The 22,393-nt window shown below is 39.3% G+C and overlaps 1 protein-coding gene across 2 annotated transcripts in view, besides 3 other annotated features; it reads right to left on the bottom strand.

Moving 5' to 3' along the window:
- Window positions 528-22,393, bottom strand: part of ALMS1 (ALMS1 centrosome and basal body associated protein) — a 224,162-nt gene continuing 202,296 nt past the window's right edge. Inside the window, 7 exon segments of one of the 2 annotated variants that reach the window (NM_015120.4) lie at window positions 528-879; window positions 1,873-1,972; window positions 7,143-7,206; window positions 8,079-8,262; window positions 9,011-9,252; window positions 9,566-9,769; window positions 10,926-11,046. In NM_015120.4, the coding sequence (NP_055935.4) occupies window positions 835-879; window positions 1,873-1,972; window positions 7,143-7,206; window positions 8,079-8,262; window positions 9,011-9,252; window positions 9,566-9,769; window positions 10,926-11,046 (960 nt within the window). In that variant the 3' untranslated portion in view covers window positions 528-834. 2 annotated transcript variants of the gene reach the window in all.
- Window positions 7,879-9,078: an enhancer, noted in NCBI's record as "BRD4-independent group 4 enhancer chr2:73828496-73829695 (GRCh37/hg19 assembly coordinates)". NCBI's record gives its function as "activates an origin of replication core promoter dependent on BRD2, P300/CBP, MED14 and CDK7 cofactors, and independent of BRD4, by STARR-seq in HCT116 cells {active_cell/tissue: HCT116}" and the evidence as "EXISTENCE:reporter gene assay evidence [ECO:0000049][PMID:35650434]".
- Window positions 7,879-9,418: a biological region, named in NCBI's record as "BRD4-independent group 4 enhancer GRCh37_chr2:73828496-73829695".
- Window positions 8,464-9,418: an enhancer, noted in NCBI's record as "H3K4me1 hESC enhancer chr2:73828156-73829110 (GRCh37/hg19 assembly coordinates)". NCBI's record gives its function as "activates a minimal SCP1, AML or CMV promoter by ChIP-STARR-seq in naive H9 embryonic stem cells {active_cell/tissue: H9 hESC(naive)}" and the evidence as "EXISTENCE:reporter gene assay evidence [ECO:0000049][PMID:30033119]".

Genomic DNA, 22,393 nt, shown 5'->3' with positions numbered 1-22,393 from the left:
TGGGCCTTAGCTATAATTCCAGGCCACATGAAAAAAAAAAAAAAAATCCTGTTACATTCTGATCCAGTTACTGGGTTAAATGCTTTATCTCATTCATTGACTCATCTTTTTCACAAGTTGTCCTTTATGTTGTAAGTGTTGGTTTCACGTGTAATGATAAATGGTCTGAGGCTTTAATCCCAAAACCGAGTGTGGGTGGAGGAAGATCCATCAGCCAAGGCTAGTGGCCTTTCTCCCCAGCCTACACAGAGAGTCCCTGGGGGAGCTGGACTGGGGCTGAAAGGAGGCTCTGGACCCAAGACACCTCTCCTGCTGCAGTCTCTGGGTGCACCCGGTGGGCATCTAACCAGACACCGTCTCCTCAAAGCCCACAACAGTGCTCCCACTACAGCACATTGTGTTTCTAAAGATACAGGCTACATTTCCTTCTAAGAGCCCATTTCCCTCAACTGATGCATTTAGACACCTCGGTGGAGACAATGCATAGCTCCTTGCATCTCTCCAGATGGGAAAGAATTGTTTACTATGAGTTAATCTAAAGTTTTTATTTTCTAAAAGTATAAAAACACATACAAAAAGGGACTTATTCTTGAGAAATGATCATATCATTGTAACACACAGGCCATTGGACAAGGCCACTATGCAGAAAGTATTGCTCCCAAACCATTAGGAATTTTAATCACCACTTTGTTCCAGACTCTTTAGAAGTTACTATTTCTAAAATACACATGGACAAAGAATAAGCTTTATTCAACCAGACTCACAAAAGTAAGGATTCTGCTTCTCTAGGTTCATAAAATAGAATTCCAAGGCTCTGAGGAAAATAAACTTGTGTCAGTCCCAGGGAACTTTTCTCCCCAGAAGTTGATTGGTCACTCTCTGTAGAAGAAAAGAAAGGCAGGAAAGAAGTTAGATATTACTGCCATCAGAGGCAGATGCCTCTCCTCCCTGCATCCATGTCACCAAGGAGAATCAGTGTGGTCCTATTCAAATCTTGTTCATTTTACTCTGCTTCAGAAACTATGGTCGTCATATAAAAAATACTTCACGAAAGGTTCAGGAAAGAGGATCTGTAATCAATATCTATTATTTCTATAGAGACACAGATAATCCATCAGTTCCCACATACAGTAGCATAAGGAGAGGCCTGGCCCTGCGATGCTGACACACCAGACAGGTGGTGTGGTGCCTGGGGCCTCCACCTGAGGCACCCGCCTGGGTTCTGGGGCCTGCTCCAGAAGCAGCTCCCATCCCACATCAGTCTGGTGACTGACAGGGTGAGAAGGAAACAACTACAGTGAAGTATATGGCCCTTCAGGCATAGGAGCCGGTCTGGTTTCTCAGAGAATTAACTGGTAACACCAACCCTGCCCCGTGAGGTTCTTGGACTTGCAGCAACGCTGACTCTACTGGGACAATGGGCAGGGCATGGTGACAAGTTGGAGGCCTCTGACCATCCAAGTGGACAACTCTTATGCCGCAGTTACACATTTTCCAGTTTAACAGTTCTAAAGGTATCTGACTCACCAATGAGGGGCATGAAATCACCACCTGGGACTCTGGAATGGAAACCTGATAATTCTGGTATTTCTACCATGATATGTCAATGAACTCCTGTGTGTGAAATTTGGTTTCACTGCAAACGAATGCATGGAAAGGGCCTTACACCATTATGGATGGGGAGTTAAACCTGATTTGAAGTCTAATTACAGATGCCTTCTTCCAAATTTCAACACTGGTCCAGTGCATTCTAAGTTCATTCCTCAAATGCGGTTCATTCTGACTTCACACTCAACAGGCAACGTGTTTTCTCCATTTCTCTTTCCGCCAATAAACCTGATCCATCCCACTCTAGACAGAGGACCCACTGACCTTTTTATATAGCTGGGCTCGCAGCCGGTATGACTTATATTCTGATTTTCTCTTCTCTTCTTCTCTCTTTTTCTGTACTTCTGGAAGCTGCTCATAAATCCTTAGAAATGGCACCAGTGAAAGGACAGAAATCGGGGAGGTTACCAGGGTGCAGAGTCATGAGATCTCCTCTCATCATCCCTCCCTATACCTCCCACTCTCCAGGAGCTCATCCCTCTCAGAAAGGCCCTGGGCCCCGTTAGATACTCCAGCACAGAAAACCCTAGCCCGGGGCTCACAATCTGGAAGGGGAGATAAATACAAACACAATAAAATCCTAATAGTGCTTACATGTGGAAAGAAGTGGGATAAAGGGGGGAAAGGAGTGAGATAAATGAAGGAGAGCTGAACTTCTACTTTCTGCTCTACATGCAAAAATGGACTGTTTCAATATAAGATAATGAACAGCGTTACTATTGTGTTTGGAAACACAAGTGAAATTATGGAAAAGTACTAAAATGGTCACACCTATAAAATGTTCTAGAGGAGAAGAAACTTGGTCTGGTGGAAGGAGGTTCGGAAAGGCTCCAGAGAGGAAATTATAGGTAAGTTGGGTCTTAAGAATAGATAGGAGCGCTGGGTGCAGTGGCTGAAGCCTGTAAACCCAGCACTTTGGGAGGCTGAGGTGGGTGGATCACGAGGTCAGGAGTTCAAGAGCAGCCTGGCCAAGATGGTGAAAGCCCGTCTCTACTAAAACCACACACACCAAAAAAAAAAAAAAAAAATTAGGTGGGCATGGTGGCAGATGCCTGTAATCTCAGCTACTCAGGAGGCTGAGGCAGGAGAATCGCTTGAACCTGGGTGGCAGAGGTTGCACTGAGCCAAGATCAAGCCACTGCTGCACTACAGCTGGGTGATAAAGTGAGACTCCATCTCAAAAATAATAATAATAATAAAAAAATAATAATGATGGATAAGAGCAGAAAGGGAATGGGGAGAAGGACAGAAGACACTCAAGGTGGGGAAAATGAGTGTTGGTAAAAATGGACTCGAGGCTTCCCAAAAAGGAGCGTAAAGGAATAGGTGGGAAACAGATGGGGGTGAGGGTGAGGTGGGCTGCAGAGAGGATCTTGTGGCCATGTGAAAAACATGGGATCTGTTCTAGCAGGGGTTGGGTGGCAATGATTTTAAGTTGGGAGAAACACAAATGTGCATTTGATAAATGCACTCTCATTGTAAATACGTTTCCAACAAAACAACAGTTAAATAGATTATGAAGTATAATGGAATGTATATGTTACAAGTATGTTTCATGTATACCAAACAAAAGTTTCAGAATTTTTAGTGTCATAGGAAAGGTTCACAACATAATGTTGAATAAAATAAAGCAAGACACAAACCTGTATATGCAGTATGATTAACAATTTGAGGGAAAAAAGTGTGTGTTATGCAGGTCTCTGCAAAATTCCCACGCCTCCCACCAAAAATTCCCATCCTCCATTAGATGGAAGGATGATAAGTGATATTCATTTTCTTTTTTCTACTTTTCTCTATATTTCCTAAAGTTTTCTATAATCTGGAAAAAAAATCACTAGATTCATGGAGGGCTCTGCGGGAAACACATTAGAGAAGGTGAAGGTGTCTCCTGAAGGCCACTCTGGAACAAGTGCTTCCAAATAAAAGAGCTATGTTCTTTCCTCTTGAAATCTTTCCTTCTCACGGGAACCTTTAAATATCTTTGGTAGAGATAGGTGATAACAAAAGATGAGTAACACAGGCTCCAGAGACACAAATCCTTAATAGGACACAATTGAAGGCCAAACACCAGGCTCTAACTCCAGCTGTGACCCTAACTTGCTGGGTTACTTCCCCTCTCTGGGTTGTAGTTTCCTAAATATTAAGAGTTACTAGATGATATTGAAGATTCTCAGATGGAAACAGATCACTCCCTTGAAAAGAGGCCACACAAGAAATAAACATGAACAGAAGCAACCTAATGAAAATGTACCAGTTTAAAAACAGTTTAAAAAGTCTCTCCAGAAGATGGGCACTAAATCCACTCATATATTTCTCGTCGAAAGCATTGATACATTTTAGGAGATGTCCTGGCTGTCTTCCTGTAGGCAAGCTTCCTAGTCCCTTACAGCAGGGACTGCTCTTGCTGAGGTGAGAGTATTAGTAGCTGCCCCACAACAAACCCTGTATGATTTCCCCTAATTCCATTTTGTGACTGAGTTAGAATGAAGCAGTGGTTCAAAAATATTTTAGACTTAGGGCCCCCTTCACACTCCCAAATGCTGAAGATCCCAATGTAGGTTTTATCTATTGATACTGTATCAAAAATTAAAATTAAAAATTAAGCAAAACTTTATTTTTTTATTCACTTGAAATAACAATAAGCCTGTGACAGGCTAACATAAGAAACCTGTATTTTTAATGGGAAATAAAGACTTTTTGAAAACAAAAAAATGTTAGTGAGAAGAGTGGCACTGTTTACATTTTTTAGAAAACTCTTTAATGTCTGGTTTAATGGAAGACAGCTGGACTTGTATCTGCTTCTGTATTAAGTCTGCTGTCCCAACCTGCTCTGGTTAAAGTATACATTAAAAAATCCAGCTTACATATAGATTTTCCACGTACTTGGAAACGAGAGAAGTTACTGCAATACTCTTTTCAGGTAACTCTTGATCTTCTTTGATACTACACCCAAACTTGATAAGTGATAGTTTCTTTTCTTTCTTTTTTTTTTTTTGAGACAGAGTTTCGCACTTGTTGCCCAGGCTGGTGTGCAGTGGCGCGATCTTGGCTCACTGCAACCTCTGCCTCCCAGGCTCAGGCAATTCTCCTGCCTCAGCCTCCAGAGTAGCTGGGATTACAGGTACCCACCACCATGCCCAGCTAATTTTTGTAGTTTTAGTAGAGAAGTCTTTCACCATGTTGGCCAGGCTTGAACTCCTGACCTCAAGTGATCTGCCCACCTTGGACTCCCAAAGTGTTGGGATTATAGGCGTGAGCCACTGTGCCTGGCTGACAAGTGGTAGCTTCTTAAAAATTAGTTGCAAGGTGGAATCTGAAAACATGTCATAAACTTTTCCTATTCTGTTACATAAAAATCCATCAGTCTATCTTTCATTATTTGAATGAATCTTCTATCTATTCCCTGATTTTGTAACAAAAAGCAACAATCATTTGGAAAATCCTGGTCCAGGGAGTTGTGCAGATCTTCCAAATGTTGACAAATGTATTTAGATAACATGAAAAACATCACATTTGTTAATGCCACCGCTTATCTCGTCAGAAAGGTCTAAGTACTAAGAGGTCATCAAGCCCATGGAGGTGAATACAAGTTTTCTAGATTTCTATTGTTGGCTTGAAAACTCACATTTTCTTTGGCAACAGATACTGTCAGACATTTTCCTGAAGTCACAGACCCACTTCTTCATTTTCAAGAAAATGTCTGCTACAAACACAAGTCAGAATAATTGGTTTTCTGTCAGTTACTCTTTCAAGTAAAAGTCATGTTCCATGAAAAAGGCAGCTGGTTCAGCTCACGACACAAACCATGGCATAAGTGCTTTTCCTTAAAACAGTCATCATCCTTCACGGTGCAAAGGAAGTGCTTCCCGTGTACCTCCATTTACACTGCTTCCTTGTTCTTCCATCACACTCCTGGCGGGAGGCTGTGCAGGATACAATGCCTACTAGACTACTACAGTTTGGTGCCACTGTCTTGAATAGTGGTAAGACACCAGTGATTTTACTCCTCCCCATTTCTCTTGCATCATCAGTGCAAATAGCCAACACAGCAAAAAAGGCACAGAACATCCTGGTGTCATTCTGAAATTAGTTTTGAGCTTGCAAATTGCCTGAAAGGGTCTCAGCAACTTCCAGGACTCCACAGACCACTCTCTGAGAACCACTGGACTAAAGCATCCAAAGCATCCCTTTGGATTGCCTATAAGGGCTGACTAGATAGAGTAAAAACAAGATTTCAAGAGGAATGCTTAAAGTTCATGAGATAAATTATTTTAAAGTACCATTACTTCAGAAGCATTATGCCAACTAAGAAACTATTCTTATTAAAGCAAGTGTCCAATGAATGCCTAAAAAAGTCAACCTTATTCTCTGGCATTCTCATGATCAATATATGAATATCTGAAATGAATTAATTTTTAAAAATTGTATTTATTATTTTTTGAATACAGAGTTTCAGTCTGTTACCCAGGCCGGAGCGTAATGGTGTGATCACAGCTCACTGCAGTCTCAAATTCCTGGGCTTAAGAGATTCTCTCACCTAAGACTCCTGAGTAGGTAGGATTACAGAAATGTACCACCACATTCAACACTCAAATGAATTAATTAACGAGTAGCTAATGTTCGTTCATCATGGCACAAAATTCAAAAATTATAAAAAGTCAAAAAATCTACTGTTATCCTTTCCAAAGGCAATCAGTATTACCAGTTTTTTCTGTCTTCCAGAAATATTCTATGCATATAAAAGTACACACATCTACATAGGCACAAATACTTATTTTTAAAGACCACAAATGGAAACAGTGTTCACATGCTTCGAAATTTTAATCTTTTAAAAAAGTTTAACTTACTGTGTTCTGGAGAACACTGTTCTTTCTCACCCTATGGGATCAATTCCTAGAAATGGGATTGCTAGAATAAAAGATGTGGTCTAAATACATATTTAATTTTATTTCAAAATAATCTTTTTTTTTAATTTTTTTGAGATGGAGTCTCGTTCTGTCGCCCAGACTGGAGTACAGTGGCACCATCTAAGCTCACTGCAACCTCTGCCTCCCAGGTTCAAGAGATCCTCCCGGCTCAGCCTACTGAGTAGCTGGGATTACAGGCGTGTGCCTCCACACCCAGCTAATTTTTGTATTTTGAGTAGAGATGGAGTTTCACCATGTTGGCCAGGCTGGTCTCGAACTCCTAACCTCATGTGATCTGCACACCTCGGCCTCCCTAAGTGCTGGGATTACAGGCATGAGCCACCGTACCTGGCCTAAAATATTCTTTATTTACATTTAGGTTTCTAATAAAGAGGAGCCTAAGACATGCAAATTAGTGAGAAGTTTTTCATCTTTTGCATATGAGTCATTCATACCATGATGTGCTTTTTTTTTTTTCAGTGCCATAAGTGAGAAATGACTCTCACAACTTTCTCATAATGTTTAAACTTGAGTATAATACATTTATTCTGGGTGCAAGCCAGAGCTCCCGACCACTTGGTGGCCTGGTTTACACTTGTATACGTACTCTTGTTTTCTTGGTCTTACCGTTTGGACCTCTGAATCATTTCCTTCTTGCTGATAGGCTTGTTCTTCTGGATAGCCAGGAAGACTAGGCAAGAGAAGAAAGGGTTTTCAGTGGACAGTGACTTAACCCAGAGGGTGTGGTGCAAGAGCTGGGAGAGGGAGCTGCTAGGACTTGGTGCCCCTACCCTGAGCTGGCAAGACTGAGTGGGGAGCAATGACCAAGGCAAGCCAGTGTAAGACTAGGGTAACAGGGACAGCAGCCTAAGGCCCTAAGGACCTAACACTCTGTAGCAAAGACTAGGCTTTGAATTAAAAATCTGGCCGGTTTCTAAAGTTGGATAAAAGAATTAGGTAGTGCTTTGTAGTTTTCACAGCTTTCATTATTTTATCAAGATCTGCTTATCATAATTGTTAAGAATGCAGACTCCAGAGGAGCACACCTGGGTTCAAATCTTAGCTTTTACTTACTAGGTATGTCATCTTGGGAGAGGTACTTAATCTCCCTTTGATTCAGTTTTCTCACTATAAAGTAGATATATTAATAGTACCTACTGAGAGTGCTGTAAGCGCTAATGTGAACAGTGCCTGGGCAAGATGTAAGGACTATGTGTTTATTATTATTATTATTACCATCCTAAGAGGTAGGCAAGCCTGGAATCAGCCCCATCTTTTCAGGAAAAATCAATATACTTTTGGAACTAACTTGCTCACAGACACAGAGCTGGTTTACGATGCAGTGACAGGGCTTAGAGTAACTGGGCTTACTTGGATCATGAATGTGCTGACGGCTAAGTTGGGGAGATTCTGCTAGCTAAGAAGGTTTGAGTCTTGGCAAGCAAAAGGTCACTGTCTGCCCAGGTAACTGGCCTGGGCTGGCCTTTAGCAGGGCTCTGCAGCAGAGCAGCAGACCTTGCCTTCTCTATTCCACTCACAGGAAAGTGAACGGGCAGGGCGTACCTCTCTTGGGCAGCGGGCACATGCGATTCTGGTGGCCCTGCCGTTCCCTGTCAATGTTGAATAGTGCATCCCGCTCGGTCTGTAACATGCTCTGCAGCTTCCTCTCCTGGACTATTAACTTCAGGCGCTTTATCCGCTCCCCAGAGCGGGAGATGAAGTCAGGTCTGTGAAACTGAAGCGATTCCTAAAAGAAAAAAAAAAGAGAAAATGCCCAGCCTCAGATTAATGATGCAATCTACTCTCCATATGCCTGGAGACACACCACCTGCCCAAGAGGTTTGGGGAAGTCTGATTCAAATGCCGAGAAAGTATCTAGCGTTGAAGAATCCTCTGACATCTCTCTATGGGGGAGAGCTGCAGCTTGGAAACCGCAGGGATCAAAGACATGCCTTCAGCATAGGCCAGGAACTAAGACTATGGCGATTACAACTCTTTGAAATGTCAGTGCAATACAGCTCTTCCCACAGTGCTATTTTAAAGATCTATTCAGACAAATACATCATTAATAACATTTCCTTTATCCCCCAAGGGACACATCAGAAGAGACCTGGTTTCCTTTAAATCCGACATGGAGCAGAAACAGGAGCTACGGACATGGAGGAACACACATGAGGCCGCACAAGCGTCAGGCCTCCGGGCCCTCCACACACAGGGACCCACAGGCCCAATAAGCAGAGATGCAAATCCTCCCTCCTGCGGCCTTGTCCCCAGATCCCGACGGTGATGCACCATCTATGGTTAGGAGTAAGGCAGCCTTTGACAGATGATGAGAAACCCAACCCTCGTGCGTGAAAACAGGTGAACTGCGGAGGTGCTGGAAAAGAGCGTCTCAGGCCTACACCTCAGCTCACCAAGTCACAGAGCCAGCTTCTCTGCGCCTTGCCCTTCTTCTCCCTACACGTAGCATTAAAGTTAAGTCAACGTCACTGCACCTGAAGGGTTGCTCTCACAAATGGCCTCAGTAGGTCTCTGCCAGCCTCTCTGCCTGGGCCTGCCAGGTAGCCCCGACCGTCCAGGTGCTGCCCCTGACAGTTCTGCTCCCGCAGTGGCTCCCTCCAGGGTCTGGTCTTGGTTATTGGTTCAAACCAGGAGATGCCAGGGCCACAAGTGTTAGGCACGTTTTCCTTCTTTGATCTAGACTCCACATTTTCCACAGGAACAAACCAGGAAACTCCTACAGGAAACAGTTTTTAGAAGGAACACAGATTTTTCACTTTTTTACAGCCCCACCCAGCTCTTATCCAGGATATGCATATAATACAGGTTCTCAGGGGTCTCAGCTGTCAGAGGCCACAGGGTGCCCTTGAGTCTGGTTTTGCTGCAGGGATGACTGTGTAACTGCCATGCTGGACTCTGAAAACCTGACAAGGTTGTGGCTGGGGGTAGGTGGGGACCACATAGAGTCACTTGGAAACACAGAGTCAGCATCGCAGGGGACTTGAAATTCACTAGTTTCTCTACTACAAGATCTGGAATGAGAAACTGACCTTCATGGGAATTCTTCTTGTTCTTTTTTAACTTTCTGTCCTCAGGATAACCGGTAAAGAGCATTTTCTCTTCACGTTTTTCTTCTGACCAAGAAGTCACATCACTGTTCTCTTCCAATTTAGCCTCGCTGGAACTTGGAGTTGGGAAAGTTATCCCAACATCTCGAGTGTGTTTTTTGGCACCGTTCACAATCTCCAAGTTACCTGAGGGGAAGGATCATAGGTGTCTCTGGGAGTAACCTTGAGGCTGAGTTGACAGATTTATTCAAGTGAGTACGTGAACCCTTTTTAATGTTTCAAAAATACAATCCCTTTGTGTGGGATGGAGGGATGCGAAGAGAGAGGAAGAGAAAGAAGGACAGGGGAGAGTAGGAGGGAAAAAGAGGGCAAAGAAAAAAGAAAGGGTTTTATTTGTAACTCATTTTAGGTATGAGAGGGAAAGAAGAATGAATATGGGTTCAAAGGGTAAAGGATTTCAACTCTGATCCCAAGTTAGAAAGACAATAAATACTTAAGAGTCCTTTTGGTAGTCACGCAGGTAAGGAAGAGGCTGACAGAAGACAGGATTTGAGGGGAAGAAACAAATCAAGATGAAAGTTTATTTATTTTTATTTTATGAAACCAAAAGGTATAGAAAGGCAATAGCTAAAAATCCTCCTTCCCACTTCTGGTCTCCATTTATTCTGTTCACAACCCCATATGGTTCCAGAGAATTCGTTTTGCACATTTAAGCAATTCTCTTCCCTCCTTTCTTTCTTTTATTAAAAAAAATTCATATTGTAGTATGCTATACACTGTTCTGTACCTTTTCTTAAAATCAATTACATGCCTTGGAAATCTTTCCATGTTAGTACAGAGAGAGCTTCCTCATTCTATGTAGAATTTCATTCATTATCTAGACATACAATAATTTATGTAATCATTCAGCTACTGAGGAACACCTAAATTCACTTTAATCTCCTGCTATAAACAATGTTTTAGTGGTTAATTTTGTACACTATTTTGCACATATGCAAGTATATCTATAGGTTAAATTCCACATATTCATAGTATATCTATAGCAGACATTTCAAAAGTAAAAATGCTGAGTGAAAGTAATTTTGATAGGAACTTTCAAATTGCCTTTCACAGTGAATCAACTTCTACTCCCACTGAAATATACAAGGGAACCCGCTTCCCTACACTCTTGCCCACAAACTTGCCATCAAACTTGAATTTATGCCAATCTGACAAGATGAAAATTGGCAGTTGGATATAGTTTTATCTTCATGTCCTTTATTATGATTGAGGTTGAGTATCTTACATGTTTAAGAGCCATTTCAATGTATTTCAATGAAAAAGTTTAGATTCAAGTAATTACCTGCTTGTATGCCCTTGTTTAACATGTGTACATTCTGCTTGTTGCAAAAAGTAGAGTTTGAGCTCAGGAAACTACTGGCAGAAGAGGAAATAGAGTCAGAAGAAATCACATGGTTTGCTACCTAGAAAAATAAAAGAGATCTTGTTATTATTACCTGCAGTCAATGTCACAGTTATCCACAGGATAAGCAAGCCAACAAGTCCTCTTTCTAATCCAATTCAAACTGTTGAGATGCATTTGGAGGAAGCTTGAGATACTGTGAACTTGCTGCCTTGTATCTGTGATAGGGAGAATGTTGTAGGTGGATAGGACTTAAGCTGTTATAAGGTGGTAAGACAAAAAAAAGCCTGGCTATTTTCACTGGGCTTGGAAAAACTCTGAAGAGAATGCTAGCCAAACATTAGTCTGATGCATCTTCAGAATGAAATTCTGAAGTGACACCTGCACATAATTTTCATGTGAGATAAAGAGGCCTGGAGATAGCTAAAAAGAGTGATGAACTGAAGAGAGCGCTCTCCAATTAAGAGCTGACTCAAACACGTATACTAAGACAAACACCAAAGACCTACAAGGCTCGTGAGACGTCCTGATGAGTAGAGCATTGCAAAAAGTATTAGAGAGTCCCAAAGGCCTTTTAAATTACGTTCAGAGCAAGTAGAGCAATGAAGGCAATTTCAGGGATTGCAGCTGATGGTGGAATGTCGGTGGATGACAAAATGATTAACAAGATATAGCTGAACAAATACTATAGTGTAAAATAGTGCTTCTTAAACTTGTTCATTGTTAATATCTCCATCGTTAATAAGGACAGAGGGAGGCTAACCCAGAATAATGAATTGGAATCTCTAGGGGAGGGGTCTGGTAATCTATATTTTGAATAAATGTTAGGGAATTTTCTACTTAGGCAGGTCTGGTGGAGGTAAATTAAAGCCAGGGTAAGGATAGGAAACTGAGCATATCTGATCCCTTGAACTAGATAAACCATATTCCAGAGTCACAAAGAAACTTGTAACAGAATTTTGGGGAGGAAGATCTATGTTAGACACTTGAAGAAAGGAAATACTTTGATTTTCGGAAAGGTAGGCATTGCAAACTAGTGGGCTGAACACTGATGACATGTAAAATTTAGGATGCATCACGAATCAGATAATTTGCAAGGAACTGGTGAAAAAAAAGATGAGCAGATTTAAGCCAGGCTCAGTCAGGCAGGCAGAGCATGCCCTGCCAGGTTAGCCTTGTTTTCTCTAGTACATAAGGTCACTTTACTGGCTAACCAAAAGAATACATAGCATACCATACCTAGATTTGAACAAAATGCCAAAACATTTAATAGCATCTTTGAGGGCAAGATGGAGTTATATGGGTTGGATGATAATACAAGTTGATAGAATCATAACTGATTGAACCAACCTTATCCAAATATAATTTCAAAACAGATGTCTTTACTGAGTGGTACATCTTGCATTTGACAACAAATATTTACTAAGCAATTACTGTGTGCAATCACTGGGTTTGGTGCTGGCTATTCCTTCTTAAGATTTTAGACATAAATGTCTTAGATATGGAAAGCAGGAGAATTTACATACAATACTCATCAGAGAGAGGGCCTCTGTCAGGATCCCAAATAATAACAGGAATGATGGGCTAAATCAGAGCATGTTTAGTAGGGGCAATTGTAAAGTCCTGCTCATTAGGCAGGAGGAATGGCAGCAACTTTGATGCAGGGAAAAAAAAAAAAAAGCTCTGTGTCAGGATTCCAAACAGCTAGGCCAGTTTCAGGTCTTCCCTTTATTAGCGGTCTCTATTTAGGCAAGCCATAACCTCTTTGTGTCAGTTTCCCCATCTAGAAAAGGAAACGAAATCTGCATTTTAGAAATAACAGATGATTTAGATGGTAAAATATAAAACACTGATATAAAACTAGAGACTAAAATGATGTTAAAAAATATATTTTTATTTTCTCCTTAAAAAAGGGAACATAAAAAAGAAGTGACTGATATGAAATACATTATACCTTCTCTGCAGCTATAAAAAAGGGGAAGAAAGCATGTTAGGTACTAAAAAAGTATATGTAGGTGTTTGCTTTTTTATTTATAAAATGTCTCTGAAAGAAAAGAATCCAGATTGAAAGGAAGAGGTAAAACTGGTTTTATTTACAAATGACATGATTTTCTTTGTAGAAAATACTAAGGAATCCTCAAAGAACTAGAACTAATAACCAAGGTTACCCAGGTTGCAGAATATAAGATCAATAAGATAAAAAAATCAATTGTATATCTACATTCTAGCAAGTGACAACCTGAAAATAAAATTAAGAAAACTATCTCACTCACAATAGCATCAAAAAGAATAAAATATTTAGGAATAAAGTTAACAAAAGAAGTGCAAGGTTTGCACATTAAAAACTAGAAAACATTGCTGGGAGACATCAGAAGTCAATATAAATGGTGAGACACTCACCATACATGGATTGGAAGTCTCAAAATTGTTAGGATGGCAATAATCCCCAAATTAATCTGTTGATTCTACACAATCTCTATCAAAATTCCAGCAAGCATTTTTCAAGAAATCTACAAAATGATCTCAACTTTATATAGAAATGGCAAGGACCACAAGGGCCAAAGTTACTGAAAAAAAAAAAAGAAAAAAAAAAAAAAAAAAGAGGTAGAGGGCTTATATTTCCTGATTTCAAATCTTATAAAGTTACAGCAATCAAGGCATTGTGGCATTGATATAAGGACAGATCTAGATTGGCCAGGCACAGTGACTCATGCATGTAATCCCAGCACTTTGGGAGGCCAAGGCAGGCAGATGACAAACTCAGGAGTTCGAGACCAGCCTGGCCAATATGGTGAAACCCGGTCTCTACTAAAAATACAAAAATTAGCTGGGTGTGGTGGCACGCACCTGTAGTTCCAGCTACTCGGAAGGCTGAAGCAGAAGAATCGCTTGAACCCAGGAGGCAAAGGTTGCAGTGTGCCGAGATTGTGCCACTGCACTCCCGCCTTGATGACAGAGTGAGACTCCGTCTTAAGAAAAAAAAAAAAAAAAAGATACAGACATATCAATGGAACAGAATGAAAATTCCAAATGAAGCCTTACATATGTGATCAATTAGTGTTCAACAAAAGGGCCAAAGCAACTAATTGGAGAAAATAATACTCTTTTGAACAAATGATGCTGGGACAATTAAATATCCCTATGCAAAGAGATGAAGTTAGACAACACACCGTACACAAAAAATGCACTAAAAATGGATTTCAGACCTAAACATAATAATTAAAACAATAAACTTTTAATGAAAAACATAGGAGAATATCTCTATGACTTTGGTTAGGCAAACAGTTCTTGAATATAACACCCCAAGTACAATCCACAATCCATAAAAGACAAACAGTTTAAATGGGACTTCATCATTACTGTATTAAAACCATTTGCAATTCAAAAGCCACAGCCTGGGAGAAGTTACTTACAAAAAATACATCTGATAAAGGACTTGTAACCAGAGTATATAGAGAGCTCTTTCAACTCAGTAGGAAGATAACCTAATTTTAAAATGGGCAAAAAGATTTAAAAAGACACTTCATCAAAGAAGATGTAAGAGTGGCCAATAAGCACACAAAATGTTCAACATCATCAGTCATTAGGGAAATTCAAATTAAACTCACAATAAGATACCACTTCACACCCACTAGAATGGCTATAAATAAAAAGGTGGACAATAGCAAGTGTTGACAAGGAAGTGGAGAAACCGAAACCCTCACACATTGCAGGCGAGAATGTAAAATGATACAGCCACTCTGGAAAACACTTAGGCAATTTCTGATAAAGTTAAACATAAACCTATCATATGACCTACCAATTTCACTCCTGAGTAAAAACCCAGAAGAAATGAAAATGTATGCCCACACAAAACTTTTACAGAAGTATTAATAGCAGCATTCACATCCAAAAAAATCAAACAATCCAAATGTCCATCAACTGAAAGATAAGCAAAATGTGGTATATCCATAAAATGGAACACTATTCAGCAACAAAAAGGAACCACTGATGCATACTACAGCACGGATGAACCTTGAAATCATGATGTTAACAAAAAAAGGCAGATGCAAAAGACCACATCTGATGCTATATACATAAAATCTCCAGAAGAGACAGAAGGCAGATGAGAGGTTGCCTGGGGCTGGGAACAAGGATTGACTGCAAAGAGGTACAAGGGCACCTTTTGGTAACGACAGAAATGTTCTAAAACTGGATTTTGGTGATGATTGCAAAACTCTGTAAATTTACTAAAAGTTAACTGTACACTTAAAATGGATGAAATTTTATTGTATACCTCTGCGAAGGAGGGCTGGGTGCTGGGGAACAGGAGTAGGAAGGACACTCTTGATCAAATATTTTGTATCATGTGGTTGTACTGTATTACCAGTTCAAGAAATGAGAATAAACAAAAACTTGTGGGGAAGGGTGTGGCAGAAAAGATTTAAGGAGTTCAAAAGGAATAACATACGTTAGGCCACAGACATGGTCCAGTCACTGAATGGAAGGTGGTAAGTTGTGTTGGTCAATACGCTCTCACTACCTGAAGCACAACAAGCTTAGCTGAGAGGGACATATTTAAAAACAAGATACCAACAAACTTATACCCAGGAAAGCTGCCAAACTCAGAAAGGAGAGTAGATACCACAGCCCATGTGGAACGGTTCATGGAGTGAAGACCTGAGAAAAAACACATCAGGAAAGGAGGTGGGGGTCCGAGAGGCAGAGGGCTAGGTCTGTTTCCTGTGCCTTCAGAGAGCAGCTCTGGGAGCAGAGCCAGGTATTCCAATGCAAGGAGATATTGGATTTAAGTTAAAGCCTTTGATAACTGAAGCCTTAGGCAAATGGAACTGGCTGCCCCATAAGTAGCACGTGAGAGGTGGAGCTATTAGAGGGTGGCCTGTCATTTGGTGCAGATGCAGCAGAAGTGTTGATGGGAGTGGGTAGGATTCACAGGACTCCAGTGGTCCCTTCCAAGTCTGAGGTTCTGTGAACATCCTGCACTTCCAAAGGACACAAGTAGTCATGGTGTGCACCACAGGGTGTGAAAAAACACACAATTACACTGGATTATATGAGGAGCCTTGGAATGTTTCCGTTTTCATTTCAAATTCTTTTTCATTTAGTAATGCTTGCCTATAAAAAGGTAAACATTTAAAAATAGAAAAGTCTAAGAATAAATTCTCTCTCAACCCAATATAATTATCCAGCCCAGTAGGAAGATGACAATCAAAGACAGAGACAAAAACAACTGTTCACTAGGATGTGGAAAAATTGGAACCCTCACATACTGCTGGTGGGAATGTAAAATGGTGCAGTCATTTTGGAAAAGTCTGGCAGTTCCTCAAATGGTTAAACATAGAGTTGTCATATGATTAATTCCACTCCTAGGTATATACCCAAGAGAAATGAAAACATATGCCCTCAAAAAAACTTCTACATGAATATTCATAGCAGTTTTGTTCATAATAGACAAAAAACAGAAACAACACAAATGTCCATGAACTGATGAATAGATACAATGTGGTATATTCATAGAATGGAATGTCCTTTGGCCATTAAAAGGAATGAGCACATGCTATGAGGTGTACGAACCTTGAAAATACTATGTTAAGTGAATGAAGTCAGTCACGAAAGACTGTGATTCCATTTATATGAAAGGTCCAGAATAGGCAAATCCATAGAAACAGAAAGTCATTAGTGGTTGCCTGCAGGCTGTGGCAGAGGTGGGAGGCTGGGGAAATGAAGATTGATTGTTAATGTTTACAGGATTTTTTTGGAGGGTGTTTAAAATATTCTAAAATCAGAATACGGTGATGGTTGCACAATTCTGTGACTAAATCAAGACCCATTAAACTGTACACTTTAAACAGGTAAAGTTTACGGCATGGAAAATATGTCAAGAAAGGCATAAAATGCACTTATTTATTGTATGCCAACTGAAAAAAATGTGGACTATGAAGTCTTGTTTGGAGAAAAAAGGTTATACTCTATAGTTCTGCATCTCCTATGTTACCGAAATCAGAAAAAGATCAACCTTGGAAAGTGATAAACAGTGTTGCCTTCATGTAATAAACAACAAACAATCCTAAAAAAAGGTGGGCACTGGATGCTATAGGAGTGATGGAGCACTACTCTAAAGCTGGGCCAAGCACAAACTGTCAGAACCGTGCCATGTGATGTTGAATCCATCCACGGATTCACAATAATCACAATGCACACATCTGCACTCATGTCCCACAATTTGTGCTGAGGACCCATCATGGGATGGAACTTTTTTTTTTTTTTTTTCCTGAATCCATTTATATATGCGGTCAGTAAACCAAAACAGTTCACTTTCCTTAGTCCGTGGGAGAGTCCCACGCATCTCTAATGATCTCCTCATCCCTCAGGCTTGGGTGTGGAGTAGCCCACTGAGTCCTCTGCAATGGAGCTGACACATAAAGATTTAGGTGACTATATATTAAATGGCATTATCAGCCACCATGGGTTAGGCTTTCTCTTGTACACAATCTTGGAAGGAAATATATGCTGGCTGGCTGCTTCTGTTTTAATTTCCACTATGAGAGCAAACTCACCTGTTGCTGTCTTATACAAGAGTAACAATGGAAAGTAAATGTACCATCTCAGAGATGTTTCAGGGTTTTTGTAGTACTCTTTAGCTTAAGAACTAAATGAGACTCATTCCCGTATTTATTAAAGACATGAGACAGACCTAGAAATAAAAGCTTTTCAATTAAAAAATTACTTGTTAGGTGGAAACTGATCTTAGAAAAACATATCCAACATAGGAAAAGGGCCATGTTTTCTGATATGACCCTACACTGCTATTCTTCAGGCAGGAGGATTGGTACTGCTGGCCTTCAGCTAGCCAGGTGCCTGCTGGGAGATGCTTTTCCTTTAGAGGCATGGGTTTACGCTAATTCATTTATAATCACTCAGGCTTAGGACCAGAGACACACATTGATAAAACAGTCAGAGTCAAAATGAGAAATATAGTCTATGGCACCAAAAGACTGTCTTTTCTTGTGAAAAGTTTATAGAACTGTGTCAATCAAACAGCAAGTATATTTTCAATAAAATTTACTCATCACCAAGGGGTGACACAATGACCAAGTGTCTGTCCAAAAAATAATGCTGTGACATACATTTAATTCCTAGTGAAAAAAGGTTGCAGAAGCAGAAACTCAGGTGGTAACTATCTATTACTTACCTTTTGGAAATTAGAACTAGTTATCTATTTCTGCCAGTGTGGTTGATCAGAAAACTATGGAAAATCTTCCTCAGAAAATTAACAATGTACTGTGCCTGCATAACAGGTTCTTGAAAAATTTATTTTGGTATGTGAAGAAGTAAAGATTGCAGAGAACAAATAATTTTGAGTGAATCCAAAATTCAAACAATAGTTAAGAGAATGTATGGCTAAAATGCAGTGGAAATTATTACAGTCAATGATCATTACAACTAAGGTAAAAAAAACTCTAATGGGATAATAAAATTTCCCAGATAATGGTAGGGCTTTGGGTTGGACAGAAAGAAAATGAATCAAGAGCTAAAACACTCAATTAACTCACAGGAAAACCAGAAGGTTGACAAATGATCATACAATTTTGTAGAGGGTGATAGAGCGAGACAGCATGTTTCCCAAAGGTTTTTCTATCAGCTTTGAAAAACTACAGCCTGGAAGTAGCCCTATACATTTATTTATTCTTTGCATTCTCCCAAATATGTTTCCTCTTGGCTTTAATAACTATAAGAATTACCACCACCTTTACATGGATGACTCTAAAATCTTCATCTCACTCATGATATCCTCATGGGGTCAGATCCATCTAGCTTGTTAGATATTTTCACTTGGATGATCTGATCCAACTTCAAGTTTAATAAATAAAACTCCTTCATGTTTCAGTCAGAATTAATTTCCTCTTCAGGTCTGTCAATTTTTATAAGGTGTCCATATGTTATTTCAGTTGTTTTGAACGGAAATTTCAAAAGAACCATGCCAATTATTTACCAATTCTAACTGATTGGAGTCTAGCTTAACAAAAGAACATTAGATTTTTCTAATAAATTAATTTATTGACATTACTTTATTTAAAAATCTTTATTGGCAACTAGCTACCATTTGGAAATAAATTTATACCTATACACACAAAAATAAATTCCATGTAGATTAAAAGCTTAAGCTTAAATTAAAGCTTAAAGCTTCCATATCCCTCAAAAAGTATCAAAAGTAAAGCAGGATAATTTTTTAAAAACAAATCTTGAGGTTGGAAGATCTTTTTTAGCATGAACACAGAAATAAAGAAATACATAACAATATTATTTATTCCAATATTAACACAATGTAATTAAGCTTAAAAATCAATAGGAAGCCAGGCACAGTGGCACATGCCTGTAGTCCCAGCTACTCAGAAGGCTTAGGTGGGAAGATTGGTTGAGGCCAGGAGTTTGAGATCAGCCTGGGCAACATAGCAAGACCACATCTCTAAAAAAGAAAAAAAAGGGGCCGGGCGCGGTGGCTCACGCCTGTAATTCCAGCACTTTGGGAGGCTGTGGGCAGATCACAAGGTCAGGAGTTTCAGACCAGCCTGACCAACATGGTGAAACCCCGTCTCTACTAAAAATACAAAAAAATTAGTCAGGCGTGGTGGTGCGCACCTGTAATCCCAACTACTCAGGAGGCTGAGGCAGGAAAATCGCTTGAACCCGCAAGGTGGAGGTTGCAGTGAGCCGAGATCTTTCCACTGCACTCCAGCCTGGGTGACAGAGCGAGACATCTCAAAAAAAAAAAAAAAAAAAAAAGTAATAAAACAGAATTTAAAAAAACAGCAACTACAGTGGTCTCCAAATATGTTTACAAAAATGAATAGGAAAAAAACCTTCAGAGAAAAACAGGCAAAGGATACACAAAGGTAATTCTCAAAGTAAGAAATGTAAATGGCAAATCTGAAACCTAATAGAAATGCAATTTAAAGCATTAGCAAAATTAAAAATTATAGTTGTTAAGTTCAATTTTACTGCATTACAGTTACAGAATATGGGCTTACTTATAAAACTTCTGCTTTGAGAATTCATCAATATTTTGTCTAACGTACAATTAATTTTGTAAATATTCCATGGGTATTTGGAACAAATGTGGATGCTGTGTTTTGACAATGAAGTTTTACCAGATATTTAAATCAAGTTTTTAAATATTGTTATAAAAATTTTCCATATATTTTCTCACTCATATATATAAATCTGAGAAAAGCTTATTAAAGTATGTCACTCTGTGCTTTTGTCAATTCTATAATTATGTTTGGATGAATGAACAAACGAATGTATTCTGGTTGAAAGCACTGTAAATTATATGAAAAACTCTCTTCCCACGGAAATTAAAGAGATACTCTAGATGTTCAAGACAAGTATCATCTCATTAAAAAGAAAAAAAAAAAACACCTATCTTCCCATGGTATAGAAACTTGTTTTACTAGTGTTCTGATAAAAATTAGAAATAATTGGCAGAGAAGTAGAAATGGAAATTTTCATGCACTGCAGGTAGGAATATGAACTGGAAAGCAATTTGGTACTAATGTAGGAAATTAAGTATACGAGCCTGTAAGCCAAGAATTCCACTTCTGGGTATATATGCTAAAGACAGTTTCAGACAGACGCATAAGGGGACATGGACAAAGACAGCACTGCCATGTTCTGTGGTGCTGGGGAACTGACAGGAACCTGGGTGCTCCTGGGTGTTCATGCGTAAGTGGGTAGATGCACTCCATGGAGCATTATGTGATTAGATATACTTACAGCAATGTAGATATATACTTACAGCAATGTAGGCAGACTTTGAAAATACAAAACTTAGCCAACATAACAAAAATAATGGTACACCTTTTATATATGATGAAAGTTCATGCATACTTAAAAAATATGTATTTTGTAAGAACTCATGTAACCTGAAAGATATTTACATAAGACTGGTTTCCTATGGGGAGACAGAAATGAGGATGGCATATGGTGATAAAATTTTAAAAAGAGGGGTCATGAACTGAGGAGTACATTTAACTCAACCCTTGGCACTGGAAGTTAAAAGAAAACTGTACTTTATCATGACACAGAAACCATGTATACTAGTTCTCTAATCCTATTATTTCACTATACTTCTAGAAGGGTTCATTATGACTAGTTTGGGAAGCTCAAAATGGTCTTTTACACCCAAAATAGAAGTCAATGAGAAATTTGGGAATTCACCTTCTAAGCTTATAACTTTTTGTGTTTATCAATCTGGCTTACCTTATTCTATTATTGTTAAACAAAAACAACTTTTATGGTTTCTTATTAGAACATAATTCTTGTAAAAAATAGACAAAAATATAAAAGAAAAAATCATAATTCATATTTTTATAATAATTTCAGTTTTTTGTTCTATGTATGACATATATTTTGTTCCGGTGATACTGATATGTATACGTATATATATATACACATAGGTATGTATATTTGGATTATAATATGTATACATAGTTTTATATCTTAACTCTTTCTCTGTAAACGTATAAAAAAATTTACGCTTTGGATTTCAGGATGCTGCTTTTGAGTGTAATTTCTCTTCGTATATAGGCATGTAAAGTCTGATATGAACTCCATTTTACAAAAATATATGAAACATTAATAAACATTTAGTTGGACATAAAGCTCTCATTTTCTTTTCTCATGGAGGTCTCTCTGTTTGGTAGTTTGCTTGTGTTGTTTATTTGCCCACCTGCTGGAAACATGAGCTAATATAAATAAGGAGAGATCTAAAATACAGAGAAATCATTCACCATCTTCAGCTTTTTCTTCATAAAGGAAAACTACTGAATGACCTTTTTTCTTCACTTTTTGTACTGACAATAGTAAACTATCCCTTCTCCCCCACCAGAAGACAACCAGACACCAAGAAACAGAACTGCAGAAGGGAGACAGGAAAGAAAAAGAGTGAAAACACACAGAGAAAGCACAGAGACAAACATAGCAATAACATTAAAGAGATAAGGGTGGGGGAGGAAAGAGTAATCAGAAGAAGAATAGAGACACACAACAGACACAGTGGGAACCAGAGAGAACGAGGGTGGGGCATGTGGGGCACAAGTGCACGTGTGGGTGAGCAGAGGCAGACAGAACAGAGAAACAGACAGAGTGCAAAGAGATCATAGAGAGAGAAGAGGGCCTGGACTGCAGAGACTGCAGGGGAGACAGCACGGGGCAGAGAGAAACACAGAAAGAGCGAGTCAACAGTTTCTTTGTTATGTCCCTTCCTGGTTTTGGTATTAGGGTGATACTGGTTTCACATAATGATTTAAGGAGGATTCCCTCTTTATCTTTTGGAATTGTTTCAGTAGGATTTGTACCAATTCTTCTTTGAATGTCTGATAGAATTCAGCTGTGAATCCATCTGGTCC

Source organism: Homo sapiens, chromosome 2, assembly GCF_000001405.40.
Source record: "Homo sapiens chromosome 2, GRCh38.p14 Primary Assembly".
Classification (NCBI taxonomy): Eukaryota; Metazoa; Chordata; class Mammalia; order Primates; family Hominidae; genus Homo; species Homo sapiens.
The sequence above is the reverse complement of the archived record's forward strand: the minus strand, read 5'-3'. Positions and strand labels throughout refer to the sequence as shown.